The sequence below is a fragment of the Homo sapiens genome, chromosome 14, assembly GCF_000001405.40.
Source record: "Homo sapiens chromosome 14, GRCh38.p14 Primary Assembly".
In the NCBI taxonomy this organism is placed as follows: Eukaryota; Metazoa; Chordata; class Mammalia; order Primates; family Hominidae; genus Homo; species Homo sapiens.
The window spans coordinates 58287598-58310451 of record NC_000014.9 but is presented as its reverse complement, the minus strand read 5'-3'; the positions used below and the strand labels follow the sequence as shown (position 1 = coordinate 58310451).

Here is a 22854-nt window from a genome sequence, read left to right as displayed (position 1 = left end):
GGTATCTATTCTGTTCCACTGATCTATGTGTCTATTTTTGTGCCAGTATCATGATATTTTGATTACTATAGCTTTGTAGTATATTTTGAAATCAGGTGGTATGTCTCCAGTTTTGTTCTTCTTGATCAAGATTGCTTTAGCTTCAATAGTTCTGTTATTCATAGAATCAACTGTGATAACTATAGAAGTCCCTCAGCAGCTAAGGTAAAAACAAAAAAACAAAAAAAAACAAAAAAAAACTCCAGGAATCTGAAAATTTAAGAAATTAACACTCAAATACATAATTACATTAAGAAAATATCATGGGAATACTAAGTCTTAGGGAAGGCCATTTAAAAAATGAGTTAAAGCCTATGATAGGATTAAACACTTTTTTTTGTTTACTACTTTATTTCTTAATGAATTATCTTCTAGTCAGTAGAAGAGCCACCTGGGTTTGAAAACATTTTGTGGTTGATTTTGATTATAACATTTGTCATAAGCGAGTCTGACTACATTAAAAACCTTATAAACCTGCAGGACATTCTACAAAATTTAATTAATTCACCAGTTGAATCTAAACCTCCTCTACTCAATATTAACTAGAACTTACACAAAATCTGATATAACCGATGTTCAAAACAGTAACTACAAGGTACAAAATAATCTGAATCTTAAGCACTTCTTGTTACAAAAACATTAATACAGATGATAGATTTTAGTGCTAAACTTGATAAATGATCTGTGTGTGTACATTTTCAAAGTTAATTACTAGAATTACTGAAATTTCTATCCTTTAACTTTTCCTTACTTTTCAAGTATATGTTTTTATATTACAAAAAGGCAAAACAGAGAGTACCTTCAAAATGTCTTACTGACAGTTGTATTTACCAGGAGTTAGTGGTAACATTTAACTGGACATATTAATTCCTTTTTTAAAAAACATAACTAGAGATTTGGGCTGGATAGAGGTATGAATTCTAATCCCAATTTTAACACCTTTTGAATGACTGAACAGATAACACACTTCCACATATTACAGATTCCTTATCTTTAATGGCAAGGATAACAACTATCAATGAGTAAACTATGGTAGGAATGGTAGGAAGAGGAAATATTTCTATTGCTCAAAAAACAGAAACAAAAAAATCCCCTTGAGTTGGTGCTGTTTACTATTCAACATTAAAGGGGAAGCTGAGAGCAGTGGCTCATGCCTGTAATCCCAACACTTTGGGAGGCTAAGGCGGTAAGACTGCTTGAGCCCAGGAATTCAGGGCTGCAGGAAGCTACAATAGTGCTACTGAACAAAAGCCTGGGCAACAGAGCAAGATCCTGTCTCTAAAACGAACAAACAAACAAGAAATAAACCATTAGAGGGTAAGATATTACCAGATTTTTTAAAAACTGAGTCATACTATATCCATAATCTCTTTCAAAATTGGTTAATCATGTTTAACAGAAGGGAAATTGATACCTGTATTATGCAAGAAGAAGTTAATATCACTGACTCTAATGATAACTTTAGATCACTAATGATCATAACTCCTATTTGATCCAAACCAGCAATGTGGTATCCTCTTGTTTTATTTTTAATAATCTGACATAATTTCTGGTATCTCATGAAACCAAAAAAGGTAACACACGTCATAAACACTCTGAATAATTTTCTGACTATACCCATGTAATACTTTGCTAGGAACTAGAAATCAAAAAAAATTCCAGAAAAGAGCAATTACACCTAATAGGTAGGTAGTAGGTACTCACTGAAAGAAAAATACAGGATGTTCATGACCCAAGAGGTTTTACATTTCATTGTACTGTTTTTTTTAAACCAACTGGTAACTCAGGTCATTATACTCTGATCATTCTTTATGTGATCCACTTCCTTCAATATCTAAACGTTCTTTAGAGCAGTGCTATCTTGAGTTTTCTGAATGGAACAGTGCCTTTCAAAATCTTTTTATGAATTTCCTTCATGCACGTAAGTGCAAAAATCTTTAATATTTTGAATTTTTCTCCCAAATAAATCTGTTTTTCCCTGTTTTTATAAGTGTGAACTACCTGCATCAGAATCACTGACATGCTTATTAAAACATTCTTGTACTGCCATCCCCAGGCCTACTAATTGGAGAGGCTTGGGGTCCTCAAATCCTCATTTTTCTAAGCAAGCACCAAGTGATTCTTATGTCCACTAATGCTTGATACCTCAATTATATGCAATTAAGATTCTAAAGCTCTTTGAGAACAAGAATTATACAATTTCTTCTGTAATTATCCAACACAGAAAATCACCATAGAGAATGCTTAGCAGTGACTAGTTTTTAGAAACACTAAAACGCTACTCATGTAGAGGACAAAGGTTGCTATTCATAATTGAATAACTACTCTGGGATAAAGAAACCCAAAATGAGAAAACCTGAAAAGTAATCCTTCTATAGAGCATGCGCATTTTATCAGTAAAGCTTCAAAGTGAGTACAACCTTTATAGTGAGTTAAAATATAAGGTGCAATATAAATATCTGAATATGCATCATATATTTTCCGGTGATTCTACACACACCTGTAATTTTTATCAGGTCTTAGTTTGATAAAGCAAAGATGTATTTACTTAATCTCTAAGAGTTAACATTAAGCTTAGTTTTTATTTGTTTTGAGACGCAGTTTTGCTCTTGTTGCCCAGGCTGGAGTGCAATGGCACAATCTAGGCTTACTGCAACCTCCGCCTCCCAGATTCAAGCGATTCTCCTGCCTCAGCCTACTGAGTAGCTGGGATTACAGACGCCCACCACCACACCCAGCTAATTTTTGTATTTTTAGTAGAGACAAGGTTTCGCCATGTTGGCCAGGCTGGTCTTGAACTCTTGACCTCAGGTGATCCGCCCACCTCGCCCCCCTAAAGTGCTGGGATTACAGGTTAGAGCCACTGCATCTGGCCACTTAGTTTTTAAAATTTAACAACTATCAGTAGCCACAACTAAGCTTCCTAAAAATATGTAGTTCAGAATAATAGCACCACTGTGAACCAACACTAAATTCTAGTAAGTCCAAGAAGCATCAAAGAGGTTTGAAAAAAGTACTTACACACAGCAAATTGGTACTACTAATAGAAGGTACAGGGTAAGACAGAGAAATTTTTAACCAAAGCATAGTTCTTCACAACACTGAGCATCAACTGGATGTGAATGATTTTTACCCAAAGCAACAAATCAAGTAAACTAAAAGTAAACCTAAATGGTCATTCTTTTATTTCTACAAGAAAACCACAAAATAATTATACCACTTAAACCAAGAAATAAGTATAAAAACCAACAATGCTATAGATTGGATGTTATCCACAGGATTGTGCAGTTTGAAAGTACTGAGAGGAGATTTGGAAATGTTACTTAATGCTATTCTCATCAACATAATGACAGCAACTATTTAAGTACTACTTTAAGGTTTTAACTTACAAGTATTATGACACTTGTTGCTTCTCACTATTAATACAATAAAGTTATCTAAAGCCAGTATAAGCTTATGCATGGAATGTTAAGAATGCATTCATGCATTCATATTAGGAGCATCTATATTTTTCTTAAAAGCTGTTTTCTTTTTGAGACCAAATCTCACTCTGTCGCCCAGGCTGGAGTGCAGTGGCATGATCTGGGCTCATTGCAACCTCCGCCTCCCAGGTTCAAGCGATTCTCCTGCCTCAGCCTCCAGAGTAGCTGGGATTACAGGCATGCACCACTAATACCAGGCTAATTTGTGTATTTTCAGTAGAGACGGGGTTTCACCATGTTGGCCAGGCTGGTCTCGAACTTCTGACCTCAAGTGATCCACCCGCCTCAGCTTTCCAAAATGCTAGGATTACAGGCATGAGCCAACATGCCCGACCTTGAAAGCTGTTAATATGAGCACCCACACTGTATCAAAAATCAAAAACTAAGTTAACAATCACCTATTCTTGAATCTACCATGGTCAGGATTTTTTAAATCTGTAAATTGTCTGGCAACATCTACATTACCCTTGTATAAAATATGTAGCAATACAGTAACGATCGCAACTATGCAATTTTAATTGTAATTATAGAAAAAGTGATCACAATCATGTGATCTAACTTTCTTGAAAAGAAACATCAAAGTAACCTAAAATAGAAGTACATTTTTGGATGAAATAGACAAAAGTGGCCAACTTACTGTAAGAGATAATTATTTTTGTTACCTACAGGGCATTCTTAGAATTTTAGTCAGCTATATCCAGTAAACTGACAGGAAATAATATATATTTCTCCACCAACACAATGATTCAGTGTATCCACAAAACACAGATACATGCAACCTCCAAATCAAATCTGTGTTAAATTACTTAATTACTTACCCACGGTATACCAACTAGCATCTGTCAACTTGCTGATAATAGCTTCCTGAAAAGATCCATCAGATGTCCTTGTTTCAACAATAGCTCCAACCTAAAATGTGAAATCCCAATTTCCTTACCAAATTTAAACAAATAAACCAAATCACTCCCACCAACTATATAATCTAGCTAAGAAAAATAAACACCATACTTATGATAATTCTATCTTACACTGTCTGAGATCTTTATCATTCATAGTACTTATCTATTTATTATGCAATTTGAGCTCCAAAACACTTTGACAAAAGTTAGGTAGCTATTATTACCCCTACTTTACACACTGAAAATTGCCGTTCAGAAAGAGAAAATAATATGCAGAGTCCAGCATGACAGCCCAGTCTCTTAAATCTTACTTTAGAGCTTTTCCACTATATCACATTGCCTTCAAGAAAATTAAATCGAAGAACTGTAAAATTATAAGACAACCAAAATAGCATCCATTTTCTTTCACAGAAATAGTGAATATTGGATTCAGCATTTGTATTTAAGGTACCTTTTAGATAAAGGTTCACCTGGAGAGATAGGGATGGACCAGTTGACCTTCTTTCAGTTTCCAGACCTTTGTATATCAGATATTAACCAAAGTGGTACTCTGATATAACAGATTTATTACATAAACAAATGGCCAGAAATGCATGGAAAACATAATCTAGGTATTCATTAAATTGAATTAGGAAGTGAACATAGTTTACTTGGTAAATTAGAACAACCAAAGATTGATGGTTATGATACTCAACTTAGAAGGCTAAACATCACCTCAGATACAGCAACAATGTGAAAAACAAAGCCAGGTATCCAGTTCAAGAATTCAAAACAGAAAGGTAGGTGAAAAACTTAACATGTTTATATATATTAAATTACCCTTCTAGAAGATGTTTAGTATCTAAAACAGAATACAGCCATTGCAATATCACAATTTATACTAATTATATTTAAACCCTTCATATGTATTGTTTTCTGATTAACGTTCTCATAAAATGTTAAGTCTATGTAGAAATGTAAATTCAGTAAATATGGTATAAATCTATGATTATTTCAGATTTTAAACCGTACAACATACATACTCTTAAAGGACCCTTTACTTGGTCATCTTGTACCAATTGTGTGGTATTATCCTGTTTCAGGAGTACCTGAAAAACATTTTGCACAATAATTTGCATATTACTTTTAAAACAAATACATTTATAGTAACACTATAACAATAATGTCTTTAATTTATGCTTTCTTAGCACCATGTGGTGACCCCTGCTAATGTAATACTTATTACATTCTCTTATTAACTGTGAGCTCCTTGAGGGCTGAGTCTTCCCTTCATTGCTATATCCCCAACAGTTAGCAAGTGTCAATGCATATTATCAGCACTTAATAACTGTTTACTAAATGAACTATATAATAATCTTTAATGATTACTGTAAAAAAAAACTGCCTTTATTGCTTTTTATCAAGTCACAAAAGGTTCTGATTGCCACCAAGTACACAAAGAAAAACAACAGTATCAAACTGTATTGCCTATATGAAAGGTAAACAAATTAAAACCAGAACTCTGATCCTTTATAAAGTGAAGCTAAGCAATAATCGTAATATGCACTGATACAAACAAGTGCTCCCTTCTACTACACATCTAAAGACATAAAGTAACCATCCGTAACAGATGGCTGGTTACTATGGTCCAAATAATAGATGGTCCAAATAAATTCAAAATCTAGGTAATGTATGGTAAGACCTCCTAAAACAATCATTGTATTAATTTTAAGTAAATAAGAGCCACAATACCAAATTTGAATTGTTAAAGAATCCCAAATAAATATAGAGTAATCAAATCCTATATAGCTGACATGATAAAAACACTGTATGAAACAAAAAGAAATGAATGTCAATTGACATCCTATCCTAATACTTGAAGGTTCATCAAGAAAACTGAAACATAAATTTTATAATAATCATAGATACATCTATTTAACCTACAAATCACACTCCTCTAGTCAATGTTTCTCAAACTTTTTTTTTTTTTTAGGCAGGGTCTCAACCTTCGCTTCCCCAGCTCAAGCAATTCTCGTGCCTCAGCCTCCCAAGTAGCTGGGATTACAGGTTTGCACCACCATGTCTGGCTAATTTTTTGTATTTTTACTAGAGACAGGGTTTCAACATTTTGGCCAGGTGGGTCTCAAACTTCTAGCCTCAAGTTATCTGCCCACTCTGGCTTCCCAAAGTGCTGGGATTAATGACCCACCGTGCCCAACCTGATTCTTAAACTTTTAACATGCATCAGAAATATTTAAAGGGCTTATTAAAACACAATTACTGGATCTTACCCCCAGAGTTTCTGATGAAGTAGATCTGGGGTGGGGAAAATTTGCATTTGGAACAAGTTCCCAAGTAAGGCTGATGCTGCTGGTCTGGAGGGACCCTTTAGGAATCACTGCTCTAGTTCACTGATTCATTCAACAAATTTTGAGGGTCCACTATGTATCAGGCACTACTCTATGTGTTGGGCATAGAACAAGTCAGACGTTTCCTCCTTTTATGGTGCTTAATTCTGGTAGGAAAACATCAGATATATAAGTGAATAAAGCAAACTGCAATACAGCATGATCCAATACCAATGACAATAATTTTATGACTGGCACAGTAAAAAAAATCTGGAAGACCACATCAAATCTCTTTGGAGTCGTATCAAGGAGGACTTTCACAGTGTTCTATACCGCAGCAGGATGACTGTAGTTAACAATGCTATATCACATTGTTTCAAATGGCTAAGAGGAGGATACTGAATATTCCCAACACAAAGAAATGAAAAATGTTTGAGATGATAGATATGCAAATTATCTTGATTTAATCACCATACATTATATGTATCAAAACATGACTATGTAGCCCATGAATATGTAAAATTATTATTCATCAACTTAAATAAAATTTTTTAAGGAGGACTTCATTAACTATATGATATACCTCTATAATGTTAAAAATGTTTATAATAAGCATAGGAGGTATCTAAGTATAAAGTAACGAAGACTATTAAAAATATATTCATATAAGAAAATTACTGGCAGGAACCACCAAAAAAAAAAGTTATTTCAGAGTAAAAGCATCTTAAAAAAAAATTTTTTTTTTGAGACAGGGTCTTGCCCTGTCATCCGGCCTGGAGTGCAGTGGCACAATCACAGCTCACTGCAGCCTTGACCTCCCAGGCTCAAGCAATTCTCCCACCTCTGCCTCCAGAGTAGCTGGGACCACAGGTGCCTGCCACCACACCTGGCTAATACTTTTTATCTTTTTTTCTGGACAGACAAGATCTCACTATGTTGCCCAGGCTGGTCTTGAATTCCTTGGCTCAAGCAATCCCCCCATTCAGGCTTCCCAAGTGCTGGGACTGCAGGTGTGAGCCACTTCACACAGCCAAAAATATACATATATATTTTTAGTCTCCCTCTGTCACCCAGGCTGGAGTGCAGTGGTGTGATTTCGGCTCACTGCAATCTCCACCTCCTGGGTTCAAGCGATTCTCCTGCCTCAGCCTCCCGAGTAGCTGGGACTACAGGTGTGCACCACCATGCCAGGTTAATTTTTTTATTTTTTGGAGATGGAGTCTAGCTCTGTTACCCAGGCTGGAGTGCAACGGCATGATCTTGGCTCACTGCAACCTCCGCCTCCCGGGTTCAAGCAATTCTCCTGCCTCAGCCTCCTGAGCAGCTGGGATTACAGGTGCCTGCCACCACACCCAGCTAATTTTTGTATTTTTAGTAGAGACAGGATTTCACCATGTTGGTCAGGCTGGTCTCGAACTCCTGACCTCAGGTGATCCACCCACCTCAGCCTCCCAAAGTGCTGGGATTACAGGCGTGAGTCACCGCGCCGGGTCTAATTTTTGCAATTTTAGTAGAGACAGGGTTTCGCCACGTTGGCCAGGCTGCTCTTGAACTCCTGGCCTCAAGTGATCTGCCCACTTCGGCCTCCCAAAGTGCTTGGATTACAGGCATGAGACACTACGCCCAGTCACAAAATAAACTTTTTAAATGCTTTTTTACACTGTCTTGAAAACATAATTCCTGTTGTATTTGTATTGTCCTAAACACTAAAATTGTCTCTACCTGAACATTAAATGAGGGGAGAAAATAGATTACAGTCCAAGTATGCTACCACAAATAGTTAAGAGCCAAATGACAGGAAATATCATGAGCATGGTATTTTGATGGTAGCATTTTGGAATAATTTCTCCTTTTGAGTTTTTTATTTCTTTATTTTTGATGTGCTTTTCCTTTAAGTTTGGTATATAAAGGGTTTTCATATAATGACTCAATAAAATGCTGATTTGCAGTCTCTCTCTCCCCAAATTTCTTCAATCTAGAGTTAATAAAACTATTGCATAAAAACAAATATTACCTTAACTTTCACCAGCCTTTTCACAGTCTTAATCTTTGCCTCACAGAAGGCACCTCGGTACTTGGCACTGACATCGGTTCCCACTGTCAGGTAGGCAGGCTCATCTGCCGCCTGGTGAAAGGAACATAAAACTGTGAATGTCATTACTATGCCTCCCTACTCCAACCTCAAGTCTCATTAAAAGGTTGTGTTTGAAGCATTAAGAATATTAAAATGACTTGCTTATTAATATCATTGAAAATTTGAAAAATACCCTAAATACTTGATTAGCAACCTTTCATTTTATAGACTGATGTCCTGATATGATAAAATGTTTTAAAGTTGTAATTCAAAATTATCAGTGATTAATAATGTTTTGTCTCGATACAAAATTTTTCAAAAATTCTACTATTATATAAGCAGAAAGATAAGAAAAAAACAGAAAAAATATTTCATATTACACATATCATAAAACTAAGTTATTCATTTATAGCTTCCTGAAATTTTTCAAATTAAAAGAAATATTGCTACTAATATTAACACTAACAATACATAATTGTTTATTGACATAGCCACATAAAGGTAACATCTTTTCATAAGGAAAGTATCATTTGGAAAATTCATTTGCTAAAAGCTGCACTTGAAAGGTTTTAAGTCTGAATTCAGCCGATGAATGCAGATATGAACTGATGGCTCCAGACTTGTAGGTATACCTAGTTTACCACACTAATCTTCTTAGTATAAAAAAATAAGCGTTACTAAGAAACATCTACTTTCAGCAAATGGACACGACCAGAATGATACATAGAAAGATGTAAGAAATGTCACTCTACCACTCATTTTAATTTTTACAGTAACAGGATGATTGCTATCTCAATCTGTCATTTTACCTTTTTTTTTTTTTTCCGGAAGTTAAAGTGTATCCATACAAGTTCAACTTAACATTGTTAAGTGCAAAGTTAACAGTGTACACTTTGGAGATACGTTTTGAAGTAGAAAATGATTTTTTGTTTTCTAATAAGTTTTCCCAAGTAATATTAAAGAAGGTTAAATATGTCATTTACTTCGAGAAAATAGAAAACCACGAGAAAGTTTGGGAAAATGCTATATTTCAGAGCTTAATATGCTGAAACAGTAAATAAGACAGGAATTGGGTACCTTTTAAAGTAAGTGCATTTACAAAAAATACAAATTGAATAGGAATGCTTTTGGCAAACAAAAATCTGACCTGAAACATTCAATGGCCACAGCATTCAAGAACGCTATATGAGATCCTTTCCCTTTAACCATCCACATACTGATATTTGCAGTCATCCTCAGTAGAATATGTATCTTTTTAGTATATGTTTTAAAATACTTATTGGAAAGATTTAACTAAAACTATTATTATACTTCAACTTCAAATATTTTAGCCACATAAGTTCATTTTACACACAGAAGAAATGATACCTTCATTACTTAATCCACGTATTCTTTCTTTTAGAAAATCGCATTGGCACACGGGAAGAAAAAAAATTTACAAAAAATCCCCCAAAGAACCAAAGCAGGACAAAAGCTTTACTTCTGCAAAGGTTGCTGCCAACACAGGAAGTGTTTAAAAATACTATCCGAATGGACAACAATTGAAAGGCTGCACCAGCCTTTCCAAAGTACTGCTACAGAGAGGGCCTAAACTCCGCATTTAGACACACAGATCATTTTTCACCCATTCAACACATCCTCCTATGCCGAAACTGCTGATCAGTAGGAACATCAATTTTGAGTAGCAAAACAAATGACATTCCACGGCACTAGCCTTAGGATTGGCAGTGTTCAGGGCGCGAGGATCGGGGCAGAGTTGACTCCACTTACCTTCATTTTTGTTGGTGATCTGTGGGGTTCCAGCTCAGCGAGCTATCTTCGCAGTCGCTAGAACTATGGGGAGGGGGAAAGACAGGCACAGACATAATCAGTCAACTGCGGGGAGCGACCAAGGGAAAGAAAGTAAACAAACGCCAGCGGGGAGGGGCAGAATCCTCACCAGCCAAGGGACAAGACCCCTTACGAGGGCAGCCAGGACGCAGGAGCTGAGGGGGCAGCGAGAACCCCACGAGCGCCAAAGGGCAGCCCGTTCCGCCCCGGAGCTCGCCAGCGGCCCACCGCGCCCCCGCCTCGCTGGCCACTTTGACCCGGAATGCTCAACTCGGAGCTCCAGGACAGATAGCTCCGGAAAAGGCCAGAGCTCCCTTCGGGCTTCCCCAGGTCCCCCGCGGAGACGACCGCCGAGCCTCCGCTCCGCGGTCCCCCGGATACCCCGACTTCGGCCCGCGCCCCGCCTCCGCCGCTCGGCCCCCTCGGCCCGCCCCGGGCCCGCGGTGGCGGCAGCGGAGTGTCACGGCGCCATTGCTCTCCTTCCTTCGCTCTGCACCATGTCAGAAAGGAGAAGCGCTCCTTCACCCAAAGGGGCAGGGGCCGCGGCCTTCAGCCGGGAGCCGCCAGAGCCCCGGGGGACCCGCGTGGGGGAGGGGGCGGGGGGCGGAGGGGAGGAGGAGGGGAGGTGGCCCGGACAGGGTGTGGGAGGGGAGGGGAGCCGCACCGCAGCAGCCGCTGCCTCCTCCCAGCGCCCGCCTCAACTTTTTGTACAGCCCAGAGAGGTATCAGCTCGTAGCCCCTCGAGTCCTGCCACGGACTCCGCAGAGGTGGACGCGCCGCGGAGTTGGGGGACGGCTCCCCCAAGCAGCCCGCTCTTCACCGCGCGGAAGCAAACTTAGCGGCGCGGCCAGCCCCACAGCCATTTTCCCGGGAACCCGAGGAAGCGGACGAGGAGGCGGCTGCAACTGCGGCGGCGGTTCCTGCAGTTGCTGCCGCTGGTCAATGGCTGGCCCCTTCCCTTGCGCTCGCCGTGCCACTTGCCTAGCATCCCTCTCCCCACCTCCAAAGCTTCCAACTGCACCGGGACCTCGGGCAGCAGCAGCTGCTGCTACTGCCACTTCGTCCATTCAGTATCCCCGGATTCCCCTCTCCCCACCTACCAACTGCGGGTGAAGTGCGCGCTGTCAGCTCCAGAGTCCTCCTCCCCTCTGACCTCCGTGGGCCCCCGTCCGGGCAGCACCACTCCCAGCCGCGGCTGCAGTTCCTGCGCCGGGTTCCCCACTCGCCCCGATTTACTGCCACAATCCACCAAATAACAAGCTGTTGAGCAGACTCGCTTCTACACGAACTCCTATTGGCTGCTCATGACGCCGAAGAGCTTCGGATAGGACCTCGCTACCTGCCGTCCTCATTGGATGTAGCTGTGAAACTTCATGGATTGGTGAGAAAAACAGCAGGTAGGACATCTTCCACTTATGATTGGCTTTTTCCGAAAACCAACTTTATTGGAGAGTTGGTTATTGAGTAAGCAAGTCCTGAGAAATGATTGGTAGAGACGACTCCGGATGTGCTTGACTGGGCACTGATTGGTGAATTGAGGGGTCAGGAAGAGCAGTTCGACACGAGGATTGGCGGCGGAGTGTCCCATGGAAACGGAACCCAGAATTGCAGCCAGGGGCTTGCACGGGGGCGGGGCAGGGTCTGTCCAAGGCGCTTGCGCTAAACCAGCTTGTCGGCGCCATTTTGTCTCGGCAGCGGTGGCCGTAGCTCCATCGCATTTTATGTTTCTGGCGAGAAGGGAACGGAGTTTTCATCAGGTAGATTGGTTTTTGTGCGGCCGTCCTCCACCGTTTCCTCCAGGACAGCACCTAGTCGTGGCCGGAGGAGTCTCAGAGCTGTCAGAAAGGTCAGTTGGAGGCTATGGTTGTCCGATTGACTGGGGGGATGGCGCAGCCCTAGCGGCACCGGCACCGGAAGTGAAGGGGCCGCAGGCAGCCATGGTAAACTTCTCCCTGCGGCGGGGTGGGGAGAAGGGGCGGGATGAATGGGGGCGAGGCTTCCTCTCCCGCCGAGATAAAGAGGTGGAGGAGAGGCAAACGTCTTTCTTGGAGGTTCTCTTTCGGGTTTTCGAGAATGTGAGAGATTTTCTGGGTTCTGTCCCACTGCAATCTTTCCTGTCTTTGGAAGTGCATTTCGGGGACTTGCCATGTTCTCCACCTGATTGGCACCAGCTGTGGGAGCCTTCTTAGTTAAGACAGGGAAGAAGTGGTTCTTAGAAACATCCTGCATGGGTAGAGGTTTCCGCGTGCTCCTCACGGGATAAAGCTATGAGGAAACTGGAGAAAGCGCTGGCTTTCTGGATGCTGAGGAATTTACTTGCCAGCGCAGACGCTTCTTCTGTGACCTTAGACAAGGGTCTGTCACTCTGCACGAGGCTTATGCTACTTTTTGAAAGCAAACAGTGGTTTTGCAGGGACTGAAAACATCTTAGACAAAAGGACGTCCCCGATAAGATAGACGTTGATCTTTTTCTGTTAACATCTTATATTCTGTTAAACGAAACACACATTTTTAAATAGCGGAATTGGAGTATAAAATTGACTAGTTTTATAGAATGGAGTAATTTTTAAAATGTGACATATCGTCAGTAATCCACGTGGACTAAATTTTCTCAGTAAGAAAACAGCCGAGCAGAATCAGTTTTTTATTCGTAACAGTAATTTTGCTCAAAAGTATTCATAAAAACGTGAAATGCATGTTGGCATTTCTAGTGAGTGACCTAGTCACACTGGATAGATCCTAATAGTTACCCTCAATACCTCTGTTTTAAACCCTACTGCTATATTGGTGGCGCCCATAACTAGAAAATGATTGTGTGACTTAACAATTACTGGGTTTTTTGGCAGTTGTGCTGAAGAAAACAGAACATCTCAGTGATTACTGAGGTGAGTCATAAAGTCTAAAAATCCTTAGAATTGCGGGGGACTACCTGGAAAAACTTTCTATGGATTAGTAAAGAAATACCAGAATGGGAGGAAGGGTAGTTAAAAGATGTTTTGTTTGGTCAGATTCAAATGAGTCTGTATAATTAGCTTTCTAGTGTAATATTTTAGAATGAAATCCCAAAATTAGGACATCCTTATGGACTTGTTTACCCATTTACGTGGTTCTCATTTCTGGACTTTGATATACCTCATGTTTTTGTTATAAAACATTATGCGTATTTTTGTGATTTCCTCCCCCCCACCCGCCTATTTAAAAAGTTCTTATATAGAAAAGATCTTGTAAATGGGAGTGTTTAGGAGTGAGGCTTTTTTTTTTTTTTTTTTTTTTTTTTTGGAGACAGAGTCTCTCTCTGTCATCGAGGCTGGAGTGCAGTGGCGCAATCTCGTAGGAGTGAAGCAGTTTTTTAAAAGACCTTATAAAACAATATATTACTGAATTTTCTAGGGGGTAAGCATCCATAATTCTACGATCAAAGTTTAAACTGTTATTATTGAATCCAAATAATGCATGGACATTTGGAAATTATTAAAAAGCCCAAAGAAGAATACAAAAATGTCTTCCCTCCTCCAAAAGGTAGTTACGGTTTACACTATAGTTATATATTATACAAAAGGCTTTGTCTTTTTTGTTGGTTTTGTTTTACCAAATATTCTAGTGTTGTTCATTACCGTCTATTCTTTATAGAAAACATTGGGAATATTGGAAATATCTTATCGTAAAGCATCTTTTATGTCTTCATAGTGTTTTGTGGGATAAATATATCATAATTTATGTAACGTGTTTATTTTTCTATAATGGCAGTAATATGTCAGTGAATATCCTTGTACATGTTTTGCAAAATATTGTGTCTAAGAAGGTCGTTGCAAAAGTAATCGTGGTTTTTGCATTATTGGAATTTGCCATTTGATGTTGGACTACGTTGTTAAATAAATGTGGTTATGTTATACATCATTTTAATGGGCATTTCTCGCTTTGTTCTTTTGGTAATGACTTATTACTCTCTGTTTATTTCATGTTTATTTTATTTTATTTTTGAGACAGAGTCACGCTCTGTCGCCAGGCTGAAGTCAGTGGCACCATCTCGGCTCACTACAACCTCTGCCTCCCAGGTTCAAGCAATTCTTCTGCCTCAGCCTCCCGAGTAGCTGGGACTACAGGCGCGTGCCACCACACCAGCTAATTTTTTGTATTTTTAATAGAGCCAAGGGGCTTCACCATGTTAGCCATGGTGGTCTCGATCTCCTGACCTCATGATCTGCCTGCCTCGGCCTCGTAAAGTGGTGGGATTACGGGCATGAGCCACGTGCCCAGCCTTCATGTGTATTTTAGACAATGAAAATGATGTTAGACAAAAAAGCAAATTCGAGCAGTTTTCGTTTTTGAGTTAAAAATGGGTTGTAAAACAACAGAGACACCATATCAGCAATGCATATGGTTCAGGAACTGTTAACTTACAGTGCAGTGGTGATTCAAGAAGTTTTTTTGTTGTTGTTGTTTGAGATGGAATCTTGCTCTTTCAGGCTAGAGTGCAGTGGCATGATCTTGGCTCACTGCAACCTCTGCCTCCTGGGTTCAAGCCATTCTGCCTCAGCCTCCCCAGTAGCTGGGATTACAGGCACGCACCACCATGCTCAGCTAATTTTTGTATTTTTAGTAGAGATGGAGTTTCACCATCTTGGCCCAGGCTGGTCTCGAACTCCTGACCTCGTGATCCGCCCGCCTTGGCCTCCCAAAGTGCTGGGATTACAGGCTTGAGCCGCTGTGCCTGGCAGTTTCAAGAAATTTTGCAAAGGGAAGGAAAGTCTTGAAAATCAGGAGCGTAGTGGCTGGTCGCCAGAAGTTGATAACTACCGGTTAAGAGCAATCAGCAAAGCTGATCCTCTTAAGGCTACTTGAGATGTTGCCGAAGAACTCAATGTGGACCATTCTACAGTCCTTCAGCATTTGAAGCAAATTAAAAAGTGAAAAAGCTCGATAAGTGGGTGCCTCATGAACTGACCGAAAAAAAAAGTCATTGTTTTGAAGTGTCCTTATCCCTTATTTTTTGCAACAACAAACCATTTCTTGGTCAGATTGTGATGTGCGAGAAAAAGTGGATTTTATACAACAACTGGTGATGGCCAGCTCAGTAGATGGACTGAGAAGATTCTCCAAAGCACTTACCAAAGCCAAACTTGCACCAAAAAAAGGTCATGGTCACTGTTTTGTGGTCTGCTGCTGGTCTGATCCACTATAGCATTCTGAATCCTGGCGAAACCATTACATCTGAGAAGTATGGTCAGCAAATCGATGAGATGCACCAAAAACTGCAACGCTTGCAGTCAGCATTGGTCAACAGAAAGAGGCCCAATTCTTCACAATGCCCTTCCACATGTTGCACAACCAATGCTTCAAAAGTTGAACAAATTGGGCTGTGACATTTTGCCTCATCCGCCATATTCACCTGACCTCTCTCCATTGACTACGACTTCTTCAAGCATTGCGACACCTTTTTGCAGGGAAAACACTTCCACAACTAGCAGGATGCAGAAAATGCTTTCCAAGAGTTCGTCGAATCCTAAAGCATGGATTTCTACACTACAGGAATAAACAACTTAAAAATGTGTTGATTGTAATGGTTTCTATTTTGATTAATAAAGATGTGTTTGAGCCTAGTTATAATGATATAAAATTCATGGTCTGAAACCGCAGTTATTTTTGCATGAACGTAAATGATGAATTTTAGATGCTGAAATTTCTGGGCATCTAAATCTTCTTTCACATCCCTGATTATTTTTGGAATAAACTCCCAGAAGTGGAAATATAAGGCTGAAGGCCTGGTGTGGTGGCTGAAGCCTGTAATCCCAGCACTTTGGGAGACCGAGGTGAGCAGATGGCTTGAGCCCAGGAGTTTGGGACAACATGGTGAAACCTCATCTCTACAAACAGTGCAAGAAATCAGCCAGCGTGGTGGCGTGCACCTGTGTTCCCCGCTAATCAAGAGGCTGAGGTGGGATGATCACCTGAGTCCAGGAGATCAAGGCTCCAGTGAACCATGATTGTGCCACTGAACTCCAGCCTGGGTGACAGACTTCATCTCAAATATATAGGTGTGTGTGTGTGTGTGTATATGTGTATGTATATATATATGAATAGATTATGTATTTAAGGCTAGGGATGCTTGTATAGTCCATTAGAAAGCTTTTTTTTCTTAACTGCACTTAGATTTGTTGTCCTTTTTATTACTGCCCCGCCCCCCCCAAAAAATTTCTGGTCTGTCTTTAGCTTCATTTCTGAACATTTTATCCTGGACCTCTCTTTCTTCAAGTAGAAATAATCGGCTGGGCGTGGTGGCTCATGCCTGTAATCTCAGCACCTTGGGAGGCCGAGGCGGGTGGATCACCTGAGGTCGAGAGTTCAAGACCAGCCTGACCAACATGGAGAAACCCCGTCTCTACTAAAAATACAGAATTAGCCGGGCGTGGTGGCGCATGCCTGTAATTCCAGCTAATTGGGAGGCTGAGGCAGGAGAATCGCTTAAACCTGGAAGATGGAGGTTGCGGTAAGCTGAGATCGTGGAATTGCACTTCACCCTAGGCAACAGGAGCAAAACTGTCTCAAAAAAAAAAAAAATAATCGCAGTCTTTAAGTTACACATACCATAAAATATATGAGAATTTTTCTTGGACCCTAGGAGTGATTTTTTTTTTCCACTTTTTTTTTTTTTTTCACTTTAGGTGAGCATTTGTACAGTGAAACATTTTGCTACACAAAAGTGATGTTTAGGAATACTAACAAATTATTTTCAAGGTTAGTTGTGTTTAACTACTTCGTGTTTCCCTGTAGTCTTCTCTAAAGTTTCCCCTTCTTGTGTGTATTCATTCTCTCAGTGCTTTTGTAGCCTGATAAGACCCCCTGTACGTGTGCCTCTTTGCATTTGTTTGACTCTTCCCAAATTTGAAACTCTGTTCCCAGAAAGCAGCAACTGTTTTATTTAATCACTGTTAGGTTCCCCCACCTGATAGGTGCTCTGTTGCAGATACTTCTTCTAAATCTGTATGCACGTTTGTATACAAAATGTGAAATAAGCCAACTTAACATCTTTCGTTTTCTTAGGTTTTTTGTTGTTGTTGTTCGGGTTTGTTTTGTTTTTGAGACAGGATCTTACTCTGTCACCCAGGCTGGAATGCAATGGCATGATCATAGCTCATTGCAGCCTCAAACTCATGCCTCCTGAACAGTTGGGACTACAGGTGTGTGCCATCAGGCCCCGCTAAAACTTTTTTTTTTTTTTGGTAGAGATGGGGTTTTGTTAGTTGCTCAGGCTTGTTTTTTCAACATAACAATAATTCTTTCTTGAAAATTAATGTTTCACAGATGCTGTCTTAACCTTAAAATTTTAAAATATTCCAGATACTTAGCTTAATACCAAATTGATTTGTAATTGCTAATAAAATGTAGATTTAGAGGACCATTAAGAATGTGTCATGCTCGCTTTGGCAGCTCACCTACTAAAATTGGAACCATACGGAGATTAGCATGGCCCCTGTGCAAGGATGACATAAGAAGCATTCCATTTAAAAATTAAAAAAGTAAAGAATGTATCGGAGTGTTAGTTTCTTCAGACCTCTTTTTATTCTCCAATCCCTTTTTAAGTATTTTATAATATCTTAATGGTAACTATAGATGAATATTAGTAATTACCAGGCAATGTTTTGGGTATAAATGAATGAAATTATGAGGTAATTGTATTTTTGTAACCTGTTAGTTAAATGAGCCCAAACTAATAGGAATCATAATTACCAACTTTTTAATGTTTCTGTGACATAAGGCTATATTGAAGAATGTTTTATTTCTTTGATAAGAGTTTGAACGATAATACATAATTATCTTCCCAATGTGGTATTTTAGTTGGAAATCTCAAAGTTAGCACATTCTTACGGATTTGTGTGCCCATTCGTGTGGTTTCCAGTTTTAAGGACTTGATATTTTTATCACAGAACACCATGAACATGTGTGTGATTTTTTTTTTTACCAGTCTTATCAATGAGAGTGTTTAGGAAGGAAGCAAATTTGTGTGTGTGGTTTTTTTTTTCATCAACAGTCTGTATTCTGAACGTCTGAGCTATCACATACTCAAAATTTTTAACAAGTCTTTTGTCTTTTAGAATAAGACTGATTTTATGGGAAAATTAAGCAGATGCTCCAGTTTGAGAAACCTGGATCTGCGATCTGTTTGTGGTAAGTAATTTTACTTAGTTACTCTTAGGTAATCAAGACTGGTCATGTTGCTCGTGTGTGTGTGTGTGTGTGTATCTGTGTATCTTTTGAAAAATGATAACCGGGCATGGTGGCTAAAACGCCTGAAATCCCAGCATTTTGGGAGGCAGAGGTGGGTGGATCACCTAATGTCAGGAGTTCGAGACCAGCCTGACCAACAAGGTGAAACCCTGTCTGTACTAAAAATACAAAATTAGCCGGGCGTGGTAACACATACCTGTAACCCCAGCTACCTGGGAGGCTGAGGCAGGAGAATCACTTGAACCCGGGAGGCGGAGGTTACAGTGAGCTTAGATCGTGCCACTGCACTCTAGCCTGGGCAGCAAGAGTGAGACTCGTCTCAAAAAAAAAAAAAACATAGAATTTGTTCAACTGTGCAGTTGTTTCTGTACACGAGTATATATTGAGAAGTGGAAATGATTGCTGTGTTGAATGTAGCAGCTTTCCTAAAGATTTAGTTATTTTATGGAAAGTTACATAATTTACTTATTTGTAACCAAAGCAGACTTTGAAATTTCTATGTTGTCTTTTGCCCTATTCAATTTTTATTTATTTATTTATTTTTTGAGACGGAGTCTCGCTCTGTCCTCCAGGCAGGAGTGCAGTGGCATGATCTTGGCTCACCGCAACCTCTGCCTCCCAGGTTCAAGCGATTCTCCTGCCTCAGCCTCCTGGGTAGCTTGGGACTACAGGTGCATGCCACCACGCCCGGCTAATTTTTGTGCTTTTAGTAGAGATGGGTTTCACCATATTGGCCCGGCTGCTCTCGAACTCCTGACCTCGTGATTCACCCGCCTCGTCTCCCAAAGTGCTGGGATTACAGGGATGAGCCACTGCGCCCGGCACCGTGTCAGATTTATCTGCTGATTTTATGGCCACATGGAGTCATAGATAATGGTTCGTATAATTCAAACTGGAATGACAGCGTATTTTAGGATTCAGATTCAAGCAAATATGAGTTACATAATGGCTTTCCTACAAGGATCTGTGCTCCAGAAGCTTAAGGTCAATAAAAGGGAGAATGTAATTACACATGTGGAAAGTTAATCTAAGTAGTTATTTCAAAATATTTAAGCAATCTATATAACCTTATTTATAGACTTACATGGCTCCTGATAATAGATTTGTCAAAGTTCTGTATACAATCAGATCTAGTGGTTCTTTTAAAAGAGACAAATTGCTTTAGAAAGCAGAGCAGAAAGAAATTTATAATGGTTATTAAAGGCTTTTCAAGGATAGTGAGATATAATGTGTAAAATTAGAAGGAGAGAAGACATTCTAATTGGATGAAAGGTTGTGAGCAAGAATACAAGGAAATATGTATTTGGGACAGAGGGTAAACCAGGTCAGAAAGGATGATTGGCTGAAGATTAGGGAAAATTGTGTGGCCAACCTACCCCTGTTTCTAGGGTTAGCTGCACATCAGAGTCCAATGGGGTGTTACAGGGTTCTAGAGGGTCTTGGAAGATTGGGAGTAAGCAGAAATTGACCATTATTTTTGTCTTGTCTTATTTCAAGTTTTACAAATTATAATGGAACTAAACAAAATAAAATGCAGCCATGCATGGTGGCTCACACCTGTAATCCCAGCACTTTGGAAGGCCAAGGTGGGCAGATGGCTTGAGGCCAGGAGTTTGAGACCAGCCTGGCCAACATTGTGAAACCTCATTTCTACTAAAACTACGAAATTTAGCCTGGCGTGGTGGCACGTGACTGTAATCCTAGCTACTCGGGAGGCTGAGGCAGGAGAACCTGGGAGGTGGAGGTTGCAGTGAGCCAGGATTGGACCACTGCACTCCAGCCTGGGCAACAGAGTGAGACTGTCTCAAAAGAAAAAAGAAATCACTTTTAATGCCACTCTAAGAGATTTTTAAAATTTCCTTCCTCCTTGTTTGTATGTATTTTCTTTAGTCTTAGGGTAGTTTTTGGTTTTCTTTGCTCCTTTAACATTATAACAAGCATTCAGTGTAATGGACAGTCTCTATAATGATTTTAATGTCTGAAAATATTCCATCAAGCTTTTTTATCCTTTTCATTTTTCTATTGCATGACTGTAAGTTTCATAGTGCTTCAGTATTGTGCTTCAGGTATCTTCTGCATGCATACAGTATTTTCTCTTTTGGACTGTTCTTTTAGGAGTACATTTAAAGAGTCGTTGTATGAACATTTTTATGACTCCTGAAACATTGCTGTGTTGTTTTTCAAGCTGGTTATAATTTACACTATCACCCTCCCTGTGAGTTTAGCTAGTGGCATTAAATAGTCTATAATTTTCATTTTTACTAATTTAATAGGTGCAAAATACATTGAGCTCTTTTTTTCTTTATAGTGTTTTTGTTGTGAATTAGTGAAATGGGACCTTGTTCTGTGATTTCACTTACTGATTCTTTTACAGGTTGTCTATTCACATTTCTAATTATGTATTAGAATCTTGATGTTTTATTTCTTAATTGATTGAGTTTATTATAGTGGTAACTTGCTGCACATATTTTTCCATACAGATTTCCCTTTTAATTTTAGTTACTTTTGCTGAGAGTTTTTGAATAGGCACAGAAAGGCATGTCATAAACAAAATACAGTGTTGGAAAATTATTTAGAAACAATGCCCATTGTAACTGAAGAAATGACACAGGAATTGGAAGTAGGGAGACAAGATACTGTTGAAGTGGTATCAGCATGAGATGAAACTAGAGTAGGAACTGGAGAGAGAAAGGAATAGGTGAGCAAGGAATTGTTTTGGTGGGGGGAGGAAAACTTGACAGCATTTGATCTCTGATTATAGAGGTGAAGAAGAAAGAAAATGAAACATACTCAAGATTTAAGAAAGAGGGAACGAGCAGTACCATTCACTGATTTGGCAAGTCAAGAAAAGCCACTGGTTGGTAAAGATGATGAAATCTGTTTTAAACATGCTAGTTAGAGCTTGAAATGTCCAGTAAGCATTTATTCTTCATTTTGTCAAAATCTTTGCGGGTTCCCTAATTGGGACAAGGCATTGTCCCAAACCCTACATTGTTTCTACATTGTGACTTTTAATTCCATTCTATTAGACTTAAGTGTAACTGATACTTTAGTTCAACTTGAATTAAGAAAAAATAAGTTCAGGAAAACCAGATGCTTCTCAAATTAAGGAGAGATTTGTTTTTCATTATTGAAAAAAATATAGTTTTGTGAGAACATAAATTTTCTTGCACCAAAATAAACTCATACTAACTTGTTATAACATGTCTGAACAGGATCTAGTTTGAGGCACTAAGAAGGATAGGACATCAGTTTGCAAAGAGTCCCTATCAAGGCAAAATCAATTCTGCTAAAATTGTAGCAAGGACAAACATCAAATTGATGGTGAAAGTTGTGATGTGGAAGAATGGTGAAATCATTGATACTTTACAAATAGTTTATGGGGACAATGCCCCAAAGAAATCAGTAGCAGTTTACAAATGCATAACTAGTTTAAGACGAAGCAAAGTTTTAGATGAAGCCTGCAGCAGCAGACCAGTCACATCGATTTGCAAGGGAAAAGTTAATCTTGTTTATGCCAACATCTCAATTGGTTCAGCTTACACAATTTTGATGGAAAATTAAATTTGAGCAAACTTTCCACTCATTGGATGCCACAACTGTACACCCAGATCAGCTGAAGACAAGAGCAAAGCTTTCAATGGAAATTTAAACAAGTGTGATCAAGACCCTAAAGGATTTCTTTGAAAAATTGTAACAAGAGATAGAACATGGCTTTACTAGTACACTTTTGAAGACAAAGCACAGTCAAAGCAATGGCTACCAAGAGGTGGAAGTGGTCCAGTCAAAGCAAAAGCAGGCTGGTCAAGAGCAAAGGTCAAGGCAAAACAGGTTTTTGGAATGCTCAAATCGTTTTGCTTGTTGACTTTCTGGAGGGCCAAAGAACGATAACATCTGCTTATGAGAGTATTTTGTTGAAAAAAATTAGCCAAAGCTTTAGCAGAAAAACGCCTGAGAGAGCTTCACCAAAACGTACT

General features: G+C 39.4%; 1 protein-coding gene, 2 long non-coding RNA genes and 1 pseudogene across 11 annotated transcripts in view, besides 5 other annotated features; 2 read left to right on the top strand and 2 right to left on the bottom strand.

Annotated features, from left to right (window-relative positions):
- The window catches only part of ARID4A (AT-rich interaction domain 4A), a 75322-nt gene extending 63425 nt beyond the window's left edge, over positions 1-11897 (bottom strand). For 7 of the 8 annotated variants that reach the window (XR_001750495.2, XM_005267964.3, XM_005267965.3 and 4 more), the window contains exons 1-5: positions 11752-11897; positions 10592-10654; positions 8762-8872; positions 5443-5508; positions 4340-4430 (exon numbers count right to left, since the gene is read on the bottom strand). Coding sequence is in view for 7 of the 8 variants with exons in the window: in XM_005267964.3 (XP_005268021.1) it covers positions 4340-4430; positions 5443-5508; positions 8762-8872; positions 10592-10597 (274 nt within the window). In the remaining variant the exon portion in view is untranslated. Of the gene's footprint in view, positions 1-4339; positions 4431-5442; positions 5509-8761; positions 8873-10591; positions 10655-10760; positions 11262-11751 lie in introns of those variants that run through there. The other variant, XM_047431652.1, reaches the window with a different exon arrangement.
- Positions 10808-11327: a silencer, noted in NCBI's record as "silent region_5798". NCBI's record gives its function as "represses an Ori minimal core promoter by ATAC-STARR-seq in GM12878 lymphoblastoid cells {active_cell/tissue: GM12878}" and the evidence as "EXISTENCE:reporter gene assay evidence [ECO:0000049][PMID:35858748]".
- Positions 11944-12667: an enhancer, noted in NCBI's record as "NANOG-H3K27ac hESC enhancer chr14:58764503-58765226 (GRCh37/hg19 assembly coordinates)". NCBI's record gives its function as "activates a minimal SCP1, AML or CMV promoter by ChIP-STARR-seq in naive H9 embryonic stem cells {active_cell/tissue: H9 hESC(naive)}" and the evidence as "EXISTENCE:reporter gene assay evidence [ECO:0000049][PMID:30033119]".
- Positions 11958-12047: an enhancer, noted in NCBI's record as "active region_8451". NCBI's record gives its function as "activates an Ori minimal core promoter by ATAC-STARR-seq in GM12878 lymphoblastoid cells {active_cell/tissue: GM12878}" and the evidence as "EXISTENCE:reporter gene assay evidence [ECO:0000049][PMID:35858748]".
- Positions 12158-12207: an enhancer, noted in NCBI's record as "active region_8450". NCBI's record gives its function as "activates an Ori minimal core promoter by ATAC-STARR-seq in GM12878 lymphoblastoid cells {active_cell/tissue: GM12878}" and the evidence as "EXISTENCE:reporter gene assay evidence [ECO:0000049][PMID:35858748]".
- Positions 12228-12647: an enhancer, noted in NCBI's record as "active region_8449". NCBI's record gives its function as "activates an Ori minimal core promoter by ATAC-STARR-seq in GM12878 lymphoblastoid cells {active_cell/tissue: GM12878}" and the evidence as "EXISTENCE:reporter gene assay evidence [ECO:0000049][PMID:35858748]".
- PSMA3-AS1 (PSMA3 antisense RNA 1) overlaps positions 12315-22854 on the top strand; it is a 32773-nt gene continuing 22233 nt past the window's right edge. For both annotated transcript variants that reach the window (NR_029435.1, NR_029434.1), the window contains exons 1-2: positions 12315-12497; positions 18745-18817. This is a non-coding gene — a long non-coding RNA (PSMA3 antisense RNA 1). The remainder of the gene's footprint in view (positions 12498-18744; positions 18818-22854) is intronic.
- RNU6-341P (RNA, U6 small nuclear 341, pseudogene) lies at positions 18064-18159 on the top strand (annotated as a pseudogene).
- On the bottom strand, positions 21299-22419 carry LINC00216 (long intergenic non-protein coding RNA 216). The gene has a single exon (NR_146595.1). It is a non-coding gene; the product is annotated as a long intergenic non-protein coding RNA 216 (long non-coding RNA).